We start from the raw sequence: 13,548 nt of genomic DNA, 5'->3' as shown, positions 1-13,548 counted from the left end.
ATTTTGATAGACTGCCAAATCGCTCTCTAAAAAGATTGCAACAATTTACAATTCCAACAAACGCATGAGAATTGCCTATCTGCATTGCCCTCATTCACGCTAACACTTTATATTATCAAATTTTAAAATGAAGAACTTATTTTTTCTTTAATATGCATTTTCTTAATTATGGTTGAAATAGAACCCATCTTTTTGTATGTCTTTAAGCCATTTATACATCTTTTCTTGCTGTATGCTGATTTTCTTTTGGGCTGTATTTATTCCTATGTTGATAGTAAGAGCTAACTATATATTGAGGAAATTAGCTATTTATATAACATATGAGTTGCCGTATTTTTTCTAACTTTTCATTTTTTTTTACTTTTTTTGTTTTTTCCATACAGAATTTTGCTTTAATGTATTTGCACATGTTCTATTTTTCCTTTTTTGTCTTCTGAGTTTTGTCCTTTACTTAGAAAGGCTTTCCCCACTCCAAGAGTTCTATTTTTAAAATTGTTTCATCTTTTATTATAGTACTTTACATGCATTTTTATTGTGAAATGTACATTTTTTTAAAGTTAGCATACCAGTTCTATAAAAATCTTTGTTGGGAATTTTGATTAAAACAGTAACTTCATAGAACTTGAGGATAAGCGGTAAAAAAATAATAATAATAAAAAAGAAAAAGAAAAAAAAAACCCAGTAACTTCAGGGCCAGGCACGGTAGCTCACACCTATAATCCCAGCACTTTGGGAGGCCGAGGCAGAAGGATCATTTGAGGCCAGGAGTTCAAGGCCAGTCTGTGCAACATAGCAAGGCCCCATCTCTACAAAAATTAAAAAAAAAAAAAAACTTAGCCTGGCTTGGTGGCGTTCACCTGTAGTCCCAGCTGCTCCAGAGGCTGAGGTGGGAGGGTGGCTTGAGCCCAGGAGTTTAAGGCTGCAGTGAGCCATGCTCACGCCACTGCACTCTAGTCTGGGTGACAGGGTGAGATGCTATCTCAAAAACAAACAAACCAAAAAACCAGTAACTTCATAGACTAATTTGGGGAAGTAGACAACTTTATGATATTGAGTCTTCCTATTGATAAACATGGTATATATCTCTATATAGAAAACTAGGATTTTATACATACGCATATATATATACACACATATATATGGCTTATGATAAATATAAAGTGAACAGTTGTGTAACTACAACCCAGGTAGAGAAATAAAATATTGTCGGGCCGGGCGCGGTGGCTCACGCCTGTAATCCCAGCATTTTGGGAGGCCAAGGCAGGCGGATTGCGAGGTCAGGAGATCGAGACCATCCTGGCTAACACGGTGAAACCCCGTCTCTACTAAAAATACAAAAAAAATTAGCCGGGCATGGTGGCGGGCGCCTGTAGTCTCAGCTACTCAGGAGGCTGAGGCAGGAGAATGGCGTGAACCCAGGAGGTGGAGGTTGTGGTGAGCCGAGATCGCGCCACTGAACTCCAGCCTGGGCGACAGAGCGAGACTCCGTCTCAAAAAAAAAAAAAAACCATTGTCAACACCTTAGAACTGCTCCTCCTGCTCCATTGTGCCCCTTATAGACAATAATCTCCCTCCCCACCAGGGAGGGATTTCTAATTTCTGAAATGCCTGATTTCTGTAATAAACAGTATATGTATATCTCTAAACAATATATCTTAGTTTAAAAAAATATATTATTCAAATAGAATGAGGCTGGGTGTGGTGGCTCACGTCTGTAATCCCAGCACTTTGGGAGGCCGAGGCCGGCAGATCACCTGAGGTCAGGAGTTAGAGACCAGCCTGGCCAACATGGTGAAACCCCGTCTCTACTAAAAATACAAAAATTAGCCAGGCATGGTGGTGCACACTTGTAGTCCCAGCTGCTTGGGAGGCTGAGGCCCGAGAATAGCTTGAACCCAGGAGGCAGAGACTTCAGTGAGCTAAGATCGCACCACTGCACTCCAGCCTGGGCAACAGAACGAGATCCGTCTCAAAAAAAAAAAAAAAAAAAAGAATGAGATGATGCTGTATTTGTTTTAATCCTTTGCTCCTTTCTCTCTGTATTATGTTTGTGGGATTATTTCCTGTTGTTACACGTGGCAATAATAGTGAGCTACAAATCAGTGCTATATTTGGTATATCAACCTTGGAGCCAGCATTCTTGTTAAATCCATTCATTAAATTAAACATATTATCTTTAGATTGTTCTAGAATGTTTACATACACAGTCACACTGCCTACAGCTAATGATAGTTTTATTTCCTTCTTTTAAATAATACAATTTTTATTTTATTTTATATATATATTTTTTGAGATGGAGTCTCTCTCTGTCCCCCAGGCTGGAGTGCAGTGGTGCAATCTCAGCTTACTGCAAGCTCCGCCTCCAGGGTTCACGCCATTCTTCTGCCTCAGCCTGTGGAGTAGCTGGGACTACAGGCGCCTGCCACCATGCCTGGCTACTTTTTTATATTTTTAGTGGAGACAGGGTTTCACCGTGTTGGCCAGGATGGTCTCAATCTCCTGACCTCGTGATCCACCCGCCTCAGCCTCCCAAAGTGCTGGGATTACAGATGTGAGCCACCGTGCCCGGCCTAAATAATATAATTTTTTATGTCTTTGTTTTGCCTTCTCTCACCGGCTTCGATATACAATAATATGTTAAGTGGAAATAGTGAAATTGAGCATCCTTGCCTCATTCCTGACCTAAAGGTGAAAAGTTTCAGCATTGTACCATTAATTATGATGTTTGTGATAAGTTTTTTTTGTAGGTAACCTTACTGTATTAAGGAAGTTTCCTTATATTACTAGCTTGATAGGAGGTTTTTGTTTGTTTGTTTGTTTTTGTTTTGTTTTGTTTTGCCACAGCCCTAGGGTCTAAGGGATGATAGACTAATAACTACAGATATTAAGAGAAAGGACAGGGACCTATGAATCTTATACACAGGTAAAAGACCACTTACCTGTCAAGTAAAAGAAAGATGCCAAGAATAACCAAATAAGAAATGAATCTAGAGACTTCAACAAAAGGAAATATGAGAAAGAAAGGGAGACAGTTACTGAGAAATGATGTTTGCATTATATATTGTTAGATTTAAATGGATGAGAATAGTGCGAAAATTTGTAATATGAGTGTGAAGTAAGAACGGTTTTATCATAAGGGACAAACTTAATATTAGTTATAAGTCAGGAACACTGAACCGTCTTTGAAAAAAACAAGGAGTTGAGAATATTTGGGAACAGTGAGGAAGCAAAGGTGTTTTAAAGGATTTATCTCACTGGGAGGAGGGCGCCCAAGCAGTGAGCACCTGGGGGTGTGGCAGCAGGTTGTTGCCATGTTTTGATACAACAGTAAATAAATCTAGTTTTGATTAGGAAAGCCCATGAGTGCTTCTAATTTAACAAAGGGGGAGAAAGAAATGAATAGTAATGAAAATACATTAGAAAAGAGGAAAAAGATAAAAATTAAGACAAATAGTAAAAATAAAAAAAGATGGAAAGAATAAAATCAAATATATCGGCTGTTACACTAAGTGTGAAAGAGCTGAATATTCATATGAAAGATAAAGACTCTCAGGTTGGATTGAAAAACCAAATTAAAATGTATAATTTTTGTAGGAAGCACATCTAAAACAAAGTGATGGTTAAAGAAATACCAGGCATACATATATTGTGATATCTGATAAATGACCTCAGGGCATTTCCCTGTGGAACTGCCATAGATGATATAGATTAATATAGATACTATGCTACAATATCTGTATTATCCATAGTAGTTCCATAAGGAAATGCTCTGCAGTCATTTATGAATCTTCAAAATTTTTTTAAAGAAAGTTTTCCATCATAAAACAGAACCACTTAGGAAGAAAGTCCTTTTTCACATTAATCTTGTCTCAGCTCAAAGTTGCCCTCGTCTGGGGAGATTTCTTTGAGCCCCTCTGCCTGCTTAAGATGCCCTTTCTATGTGGTCTAGCATTTTTACCAAATTGTCATATCCACGTCTCAGGATATTGTAATTATTGATTTATTTATTTGTTTCCCAGAATATTGTAAAATCAACATATGCTGGTGTCCACAATACCTACATCTATGTGCCTTATGAATGACAACCCATAAGAATTTAACAAATGAATAAAGCAAATGTTTTCTGAAAGAAAAAAAGAAATACCAGGCAAATACAAAGAAAAAGCTAAAATGACAACATGAAATTGAAGGTTAAAAGTATTAAATGAGACAGAGATAATATGTAATGATAAAAGGCACACTTTAAGAAGATGTTAAACGTAAATCTCTAAACACTAAACATCATGGCAGTCAAATCTATAAGGCAAAAACTGTTAGAAACGTGGAGAATGTTATTTAAAAACATGCACACGTAAACTGCGGTGGAAGATTCTAATCTACATCTTTCAAAATCTGACAGATCTAGAAGATAAAAATTAGCCAGGACATAGAAGGTCTGAGTATTACAATCAACCAGCTCAATTTAATAGATGTGTATAGAACTGTGAAACATGCAAATATAGAAGATGCTTTTTTCTTATGTAAATAACACATTGGTAGATGATAGATATAGATGGATAGATATGATAGATAGATAGATAGATGGATAGACAGATAGATAGACATCAGTCATGTACTTGGCCACAAACAAAGCTTGAAAAATTCAAAAAAGTGAAGATTTTTGCAGGGTATTTTCTGATAAATATTTTAGAATATAAGAGAATAATAATAAAAAGATGACCACTAAACTATTAACTGCTTAGAATAAAAAAACCCTGGATCAATACATAAATCAAAATTGGAATAAAAACTATCTAGAAAGCAATGAATCCTATTTTTTGGTATGCTAAACTCATATTCGAAGGAAAAATCACAGTCTTAAATGCCTTCATTGTTAAAGAAAACTGAAATTAAAGGAATATGGAACTCATTTTAGAAAATTAAAAATGGAACAAATACTTCAGTCATGGTAATTAGCAAAAGTAAATGCCAAAACTAGTGAAAGTGTCAAAAATAAATGGAAAGAATTTTTTAAAAAAATCCGAAATCTAACTTTTTATGGTGGTAAAATATACATATTTGTCATTTTAACCTTTCATAGATGTACAATTAAGTGGCATTAAATACATTCACAATGTTGTATAACCATCACCATTATCTATACCCAAAACTTTTTTATGATTCCCAGTAAAAACTCTGTATGCATTAAAACAATAACTCACCCTTCCTCCCTCTGCCCACCAGTGGTAACCTCTATTTTACTTTCTACAGTGATACAATAGTTGTTCTTCTGTGTCTGGTTAATTGCGCATAGCATAATGTTTAAGATATATTCATGTTACACCATCTTGGCCAACATGGTGAAACCCCGTCTCTACTAAAAATTCAAAAATTAGCTGGGCGTGGTGGCACGCGCCTGTAGTCCCAGCTACTCAGGAGGCTGAGGCAGGAGAATCGCTTGAACCCGGGAGGTGGAGGTTGCAGTGAGCCGAGATCGCACCACTGCACTCCAGCCTGCGCCACTGCACTCCAGCCTGGCGACAGAGCAAGACTCTGTCTCAAAAAAAAAAAAAGACATACTCATGTTACAGCATATATCAAAATTTCATTTCTTTTTATGGCTGAATAATGTTCTATCTCTGTTTATACCACATTTTGTTTATCTATTCATCTGCTGATGAACTCTTAGATTGCTTTCACCTTTTGACTACTGTGAATAATGCTGCTATGAACATGAGTGTACAAATATCTGTTGAAGTTCCTGCTTTCAATTCTCTTGCATATATACATAGGAGCAGAATTTCTGGATCATACAGTAGTTTTATGCCAAATCTAATTTTTGTAAGATAAATAGATATCCCCTGCCGACCATTAGGAACAAATGAAAGAAATCAAATGCAAGCAATATTAGAAATTAAGAGGGTGATATAATGCCAGATACAAAAAGAGAGAAAAATAATTATAAGACAATATTACATACAACCCTAGGGCACCCAACTTGAAAATCTAGAGATTTGTTTCAACAAATCTAGGAATTGTTGAATTCCTAGAAAAACATAAACTGATATCAAAAGAGATTGAAAATTTAAATAGGTCAGTTACCCAGGAAGAAATTGGAAAAGTAAAAGTAATGTAGGAATAGAAAGACATTTCTTAAATATGATGAAAAATATTTACCAGAAGTCAATAGCAAATATCTTTCTTACTAAAACCATGAAACCCTCAAGCTATTTCCATTAAATTAGGAAAGTACAAAGAAGGGATGCTTACCATGATCATTATTATTCAACATGTTTTAAAGGCTCAATTGCATTATTGGGGAAAAAAGAAAGTATAAGAACGAATTCTAACAGCAGAAAAAGTTATATTTACCTGCAGATACTATGATTATACATGGAGAAGAACCCAAAAGACTGCAGTAAACATTCTACTAGAGAAGACATAAATAAGCAAATAAATAAACAAGATATTCACAGACTGTAAAAAGTACTCTGCAGGAAATAAACAGAGCAGTGATGAAGAGTAGCTAGGCAAAGGGCCTCACTCCAGACACAGTGGCCAGGAAAGGATTTCCTCCAGGGGAGATCCTGAAGCTAGGACCCAGGCAAGGAGAGGAAGAGCTCCAAGAACGGCATTCCAGCCAGAGGGAACAGTGTGTGCCAGGGTGGGTTTGAAGAACAGCAAGAAGGCCACTGGGACAGCAGCTAGAAGGGAAGAGGGTGTTGTGAGAGAAAGTGGGGTGGTGTGGGGGCTGTAGGCCAGAGTAAAAAGGTTGAACTTGACTCTAAATGCCATAAGAAGACATTGAAGGACTTTAGCCAGATTTATGCTTTTTTTTTTTTTTTTTTTTTTTTTTTTTGAGATGGAGTCTGGCTCTGTCGCCGAGGCTGGAGTGCAGTGGCAGGATCTTGGCTTACTGCAACCTCTACCTCCCAGGTTCAAGCGGTTCTCCTGCCTCAGCCTCCCGAGTAGCTGCGATTACAGGTGCCTGCCACCACACTTACCTAATTTTTTGTATTTTTTGGTGGAGATGGGGTTTCACCGTGTTCGCCAGGATAGTCTCGAACCCTTGACCTCCGGTGATCCACCCACCTTGGCCTCCCAAAGTGCTAGGATTACAGGCGTGAGCCACCACGCCCAGCTTCTTATTTATGTTTTTGAAAGAATATTATATGTGCTTTGTAGGGAGGAAGGCAAGGGGGGCTAAGGACGCCAATTAGAAAGCTATAGCTATGGGACAGGTGGGAAGTCACTGTGGTGTGCCTTAGGAAGTGGCACCGGGGCGAAGAAGACACACGGGTGGAAGTGAGCTGTATTTTAGAGTTAGGCCCCCAACTGGAGGGATGTACAGATGTTAGCCCTTTCCTGGTATATCCTCACTGACCTCTTTATTTTGAAACTCTAAATGTCACTTTGTTACAGCTATGTATCTTAGAAGCTAGGTAGATAGGCCGTTTTAGGCTTTTTACTTTTTTTTTTTTAATAGGGGAGTTTAATCCGTCTGCAGTAATTTTGCTCTGTTCTGTGGTTTCTCCTTTTGTCCTTCCTTTCTATTTTTAGTTACCATGGCTTCCCTGCCCCTTCCTCTTTTGCTTCCCCTTGCCTTGGTCTTTTGTTCCTGATTCCTGAAGGACTGTTGGAGTTTTCCCGGTCTCGTCTTTCTTAACGCTCTAAGGGTTTGGAAGTTTAACGTCCTATCTCTACTCCGGGTCTAGTGACCGTTCAGGGTCTTAAGACATTTTCAGTGCTAGCCCGTGCGTCTTTGTTTCCCCATCTTTCTTTAGTTCCCTTGTAAGCCTTTGTGATCACTTCAAATCCTTTTTAGAAATAGCTTCCAGATGAAGAAGTGAAGCTGCCTGGCGCATAGATGTGTTCAAGTCTCCCTTCTTTTCGCTCAAGGAGAGTGAAGAGTGGATGGTGCCAATTCTAGCTGGGAGGAGTGAAGGACGGGGAGGGGGACGATGAGGCAGGAGGAGACCACGCCGCCCTCCTGGGAGGGGGCTGACTCGACCCAGCTGGTTCGGGTGTGCACCATCCTCACTCTCTCCGCCCTTCCAGGGCTGCACTGCGCCCCGCTCTCGGCAAGACACGGGTGACGCTCCGGAGATTTAATTCCCCTGCTCAGGTCAGTGTAGGGCCTCAGGGAAGTTCAAAGCTCGCCCACTAGAGGGCATTGGCGCGTTTCCCAGAAGACACGGCCCCGGGAGCTTTCGGGCTCTCCAGCAGCCCAGGGGGACTCCGGCGTCCGCGTAGACTGGTTCTGCGCAGGGGGCTGGGGCTGCTGGCGAAGGAGGTCGGGCGCTGCAGAGGAGCTCATAGACCCTACAGCGCAGTCAGGGTCGGGGAGGCCGCTGATTCTCCCGCTTCAGGGCGTTCAACTGCAGGACGAAGCGTCCCCAACGCGCACACCCGACTCTGGAGACCCGAGTGTGTGCGGGAGGCCAGCCCCGCCGAAGCGCCGTCCAGGATCTGCCGAAGCGCCGTCCGGGATCTGCCGAAGCGCCATCCAGGATCTGCCGAAGCGCCATCCAGGATCTGCCGAAGCGCCGCCCGGGATCTGCCGCCGCACGCAAGAGCCCAACCATAGAGGACAGCGGGGGCACCTAGTACCCGTGGAGATCCCAAACTCCTCTCACCCCAGCCCCAAAGCACTTCTCCCAATGCTGCTGCCGTGCCTGAATCCCGCCCACGCGTGAGAATCACCCCATTATTACAGAAGACCCCTGTCAAATGCACACGCGTTAACCACGTGTTACCCAAGGACGACTCAGTCATCCTTTAGGACTCGGTGATACATTAGCACAGATGAACCTGGCACTGAGGTGGGATGAGGTGGGGAGATCTTTTGGCCGCAGGTCATTTAGGATATTGTTATTACTGCAAAGACCACAGAACAGCCATGGTTTAGTCACTTATTCCTTGCCAGGAGCTTCGTCTCATTGTCTCTTTTAATAAACAATATTTTGAGATCACTTTGTTATAGTGATGTCTGCTGGTTTCCCCACTGTAAAATGACTAGTTTTCCCTTTGTAATTAATAAATATTTGGGGGGAGATGCTTTGAGACTGTGACGTATTCTGTTTCTTCTCAAACTCTTCCCCTCTCCTCTCCGCCCCACGTTTCTTGATCTCCTCTCTCTGCCTCTGGAGCACCGCTACATGCTGCCATTGATGGTTTGGGCACTTGGCTCGCCTCACCTTGGCTACTTTCCTCTCCCTCTCCCCTGGTCGGCCCTTCCTTGGTAGCTCCTCTGTTGAATTCCCACATCCTTCGAACTCTGCAGGTAGAATCCCTTACATTTTCCTGGGAATGACCTAGCCTCCAGCCTGAATTACTTCAACTTCCTGTATTCTACAATATCTCCAAACATCTTCACTTCCACACTCATCCTCTCTTCCTTGCATCCTATCTCAGACAAAGAGGAGGCCAGCTGGAGCTCTGGAAGCAGCTGGTAGAGTGGAAAGGGCACAGGCTTTGGAGTAAGTCAGACCAGATTTTGATCCCACTGCCACCACTTACTAGCTATATGACCAAGATTTTTTCTCTCTCTCTCTTTAGAACATCAATTAACATAAGGATATTTGAATAGAAATACTCATCGTTAACGATTATAAGAATTAGTATCAATGTGTGACCAATTTCCTGAGAGAGCTCTGACATGTAATGCTCAGTAAAGGATAGCTGTTATTATTTTCATAGTTTCGGTCCCTGTGCCCTCTAAAAACTTCTTCATGCTTCATGAATTACTCCTCCTCTCTCCTGTGGCTTCAGCCTCTCCCTCTCAATTGGTTTATTCTCTCAGCTTTTCAACATAATCAAATCTCTCCTATCTTCAAAAACAAGCAAACAACAAAACCAAAAACTCTTCTGCAAAGAAACCCACCGGCTCCCTCAAGTGCTTTCTTCCCTTGTCATGAAAAGGGAACTTCCACAGGAGACATTTATGCTTTAACAAATGCCTGGTTCCTGAAGCTTCCTAGTTCTTGTAGGAATCTCTCCTTTGGTTTCCTGAATCAGTGGATTGTGTTATTTCATCAATTTTGGAAAATTCTCAGCCATTATCTCTTCAAATATTGCCTCTGCTCCATTCTCTCTCTCCTCTCTTCTAGAACTCCAATTAAACGTATATTGGATTATCTCCCTGTGTCTTCTATTTTATTTATCTTCTTATCTGTATTTTCCATCTTTATGCCTCTCTGGACTTCATTCTGGATAGTTTCTTCTGACTTATCTTCCTTTCCACCAATTATTAGCTCTTAACTCTTCTATAGAGTTCTTTATTGAGTTATCATACTTTTCAGTTCTATAATATCAAATGGTTCTTTTTAAAATCTTCACCGTTGCTTTCAAAATTTTTATATCCTTACATAAAATTTTAAATTCAATTTTTATCTCCATGAACACAGTAAGCACGGTTTCATTACAGGTTGTATCGAGTTATTCTAATATCTGGGATCCGGTGGGTCTATTTCTATGGTCCACAGTTTCTGTTGATTCTGACTTGTGGTGTTTTGTCTCATGTAGCTCTTGTGCCTCTGTGCTTTCTGGACAATTTATTTGAAATGGCTCTTTTGAGAGTTAATTTGAAATCTAGGATCCTCTTCCAAAGAGGATTTTTTTTTTCCTTTTTTCCAACACCTGAGGGAACTAGCAGTCCGGGAATAAGGCTTGAGGCTGTTCTGTATGTCCACAGGGCCAGTACCCACCCCCTTTTCCAGATGCAGCCCTTTGGGGCCACTACTCAGAGCACATAGTGGGCTCATACTAAGTTTCCTTCTTTACTAACAGTAGACACCAACTGTTCCTCCAGCTCTAGGGAGCCCCCCAAAAGTACTGTTCACCCTGCTCACCTCACATGGTTCTGAGGATTGGCAGACAGCCCAGGGTAAACATATCAGTGGGGTACAAGTGACTTGCACATCTCCAGGACACTATGTAATGCAATATGACCCCTCACACTCACCCAAGGACCTTGGCATGTCAGCTGCCTTCTCCCAGGAAGTGAACACATCCCAAGTAACCAGTTTAGGCTCTTACCCCTCCCTGTTCGGCTCTATTAATGAGGCCTGCAGTGCTATTAAGAAGATAGTTTGATATCTCCTCTAACTTTTGTAGCTGTCTTTAGAAGTAATGGTGATTTATCCCTTAGTCTACCATTACTGGAAACAGTTGGCAGGGAATCTCTAATGCCCCTTGGTACCACTTCTTTCCTGGCTGAACTTAGATCCTTCCTTTTATTCACCCACAGTTGAGTTTTATAAGGGGACTAAATAATGCATTATAATACAGAGAGCAATTTATAACCAGCCACTCCCTATGGCCTATGACCTAGCCCATGCCACTGGGCCCAGCTTCGAGGCCATCTTCCTGTCTCCATGACCATCCACCCATGTATGAAGGCATCTCTGATGACTGGGCTTCCCAGTGGTAATCAGATATGGATTTGGTCCCAAGGTCTCTATAAGTGGGTGGACAAATTCCTCTTTGAGTAGACCTCTCCGATGTGAGCCACCTGGAAAAGGCCTGTTCTTAGATCATTACATTAACTCAAACATGATGCCTCTTTGTTAAGCCTGCTCTGATTCTCCTAACACAGGCAGGGTCTCTCCCTGCCTTGTCTCATGTGGCCATTTCTCACACTCCATCTTATAGAATCGAGATGTTATGTACATATCATGTACCTGTTGTTTTTGTTTGTTTCATTTGTTCGCCTGGGTGGAAGGGGTTTGAATTATTCCAGTTTCTATACCCACGATGTATAATTATTCTTGGGTTGCACAAAGCCATTTCATTATTGTATTGACTGACTTCTCTTTTATCTCTAGTCCCTATTCTCATTCCCCTTCCTCCACAGGTAGCTATTTTACCATGTTAATGGGCAACTTTATTTGAATGTGTTCTTGCAAATGTGTACTGTTGATTTATTTGCATACATTTAAAAAACCTGTTTGAAAGCTACCACATGATAGGTCTTATTCTGTTTCCTCCTTTTTATATTTTTAACACCCAACCACGTTGCAGTGTGACATCTAATTCAAGGCGTCTAGTCTCTGCATAATACCCCAGGGAAGTTCTCATGCGGACCCATAGGGAGCACATATGAAGATGTTATCACTGCTTGTTTTTTATGGTGGCAGGGAGTTGAAGATCACCTGAGTGCCCATTGCGGGGAGAATGGAGTGGTAAAATGTAACAAGGTGCCCATGGTGGGGTATTATGCAGAACTGAGCTCTGCCTCCTACCTGCTTATGAGATGGGGAATTCCTTAGATAGAGGAACAAGGCTCAGATGCTGAACAGCCAAACAGAATAACTATGTCCACAAGGCCCCTCCTCTCCCATAAGGTCTGTACCTGCTGAACTGTGTGGGGGCTGTTCAAAGAATTTGAACTTTGTTAATAGTCACAGTTCAGAGACAACTGATACCCTGGGCATCCCTGATACAAGCCATTGTAAGAAGAAACAGCATGGAACCAAAGAGAACACTTACTTTACCGGACAAAGGTATCTCCTGTTACAATCCACATTCGTCTCCCCACTCTTAGGGCCTAAGTGACTTTGGGGTTTCAGAAACTCTGGGAGGCTGATCCTCAACCCGACCCCAACCCAGCCTACCACAGCAGCACGAACGTGCTTTGGGAAGATGATCGTCTGGGTGGAGGGTGGAGGAGAAAGGTAGAATCCTGCAGAACTCAAAGAACGTTCCTGTGTACCCCCCACCACCCTCCAGGGATAAAAGAGCTGCTTCCCTCCCTCTTGGCATAAGCATCATTCCCTACAGAGACTGGCAGAGATCTGAAACCATGCAGGGACAGCTGTGGAGGCTGCTGTCAGTGGAGACCCAGGCTCAGAGACCCAGCCCAGCCGGTAGTAAGAGCGTCCCCCATGGCGATGGCAGCACTCCAGGCCACCTGAGGTCAAGAGGGCTCCACCCAGCCAGCTGCAGCTTCCCTGGGAGCTGTGGAGGGTGGCGAGTGTGGGATCAGTGCCCAGCCGTCAGCACGGGCAATACCTTTGCACCTGACCAGCAACCCACTGCCAGAGCAGCCACAAGGACTGATTCTTGGGCCGGTGAGATTCCAGAGTCTCCCTCAGCGCAGGTGCTGAAGGGAAACTCTGCAAGACCCTAAGAGCCTCTGTGATCAGGTGGGGGCTAAGAGGCGTCAGAATGTGGATGCTCCTGTGAATCAGACTGGACTTGTAGTTCCAGGCCGCAGAGTCCTGGCATGCGGGCACCATGGTCATAATGATGATCTTCATTGCCATGGCACACACCATTCCCATGTATCAGCTTTATGCCTGGGCAGAGCAGACGGGTGTGACTGAAGGCACAAGGGCAAAATGCCATTATTGAGGCACCTCCTGCTGCCCCGGGAAGCACTTACCTGAGTGGTGAGTCCACCTGTCTACTCATTGGACCGCCGTTATGCTCCAGGCAGGATAGAAGAGGCAGTGGTTCCCTGCCTGTGACGAGTCCCTGGGCTCTTCTCCTCAGGGCAAGTGGTCCTGCCCTGCTGGAATTGTGTCTAACCAAGGGTAGAGGTATCAGCAGCAGGTACCTGTGGAAGAG

The 13,548-nt window shown here is 42.4% G+C and overlaps 1 long non-coding RNA gene across 1 annotated transcript in view, besides 2 other annotated features; it reads right to left on the bottom strand.

Annotated features, from left to right (window-relative positions):
- LINC01839 (long intergenic non-protein coding RNA 1839) overlaps window positions 1-13,548 on the bottom strand; it is a 76,964-nt gene that overhangs the window by 30,801 nt on the left and 32,615 nt on the right. Inside the window, exon 6 of the long non-coding RNA XR_924788.3 lies at window positions 13,364-13,537. This is a non-coding gene — a long non-coding RNA (long intergenic non-protein coding RNA 1839). The remainder of the gene's footprint in view (window positions 1-13,363; window positions 13,538-13,548) is intronic.
- Window positions 7,966-8,466: an enhancer, noted in NCBI's record as "H3K4me1 hESC enhancer chr3:184231385-184231885 (GRCh37/hg19 assembly coordinates)". NCBI's record gives its function as "activates a minimal SCP1, AML or CMV promoter by ChIP-STARR-seq in naive H9 embryonic stem cells {active_cell/tissue: H9 hESC(naive)}" and the evidence as "EXISTENCE:reporter gene assay evidence [ECO:0000049][PMID:30033119]".
- Window positions 7,968-8,262: an enhancer, noted in NCBI's record as "tiled region #6101; K562 Activating DNase unmatched - State 20:ReprD". NCBI's record gives its function as "activates a minimal TATA promoter and a strong SV40 promoter by Sharpr-MPRA in K562 cells {active_cell/tissue: K562}" and the evidence as "EXISTENCE:reporter gene assay evidence [ECO:0000049][PMID:27701403]".

The sequence above is a fragment of the Homo sapiens genome, chromosome 3 (genome assembly GCF_000001405.40).
Source record: "Homo sapiens chromosome 3, GRCh38.p14 Primary Assembly".
Taxonomy (NCBI): domain Eukaryota; kingdom Metazoa; phylum Chordata; class Mammalia; order Primates; family Hominidae; genus Homo; species Homo sapiens.
Note: the sequence above shows the minus strand (reverse complement) of the source record. Positions and strands in the feature narration are given on the sequence as shown.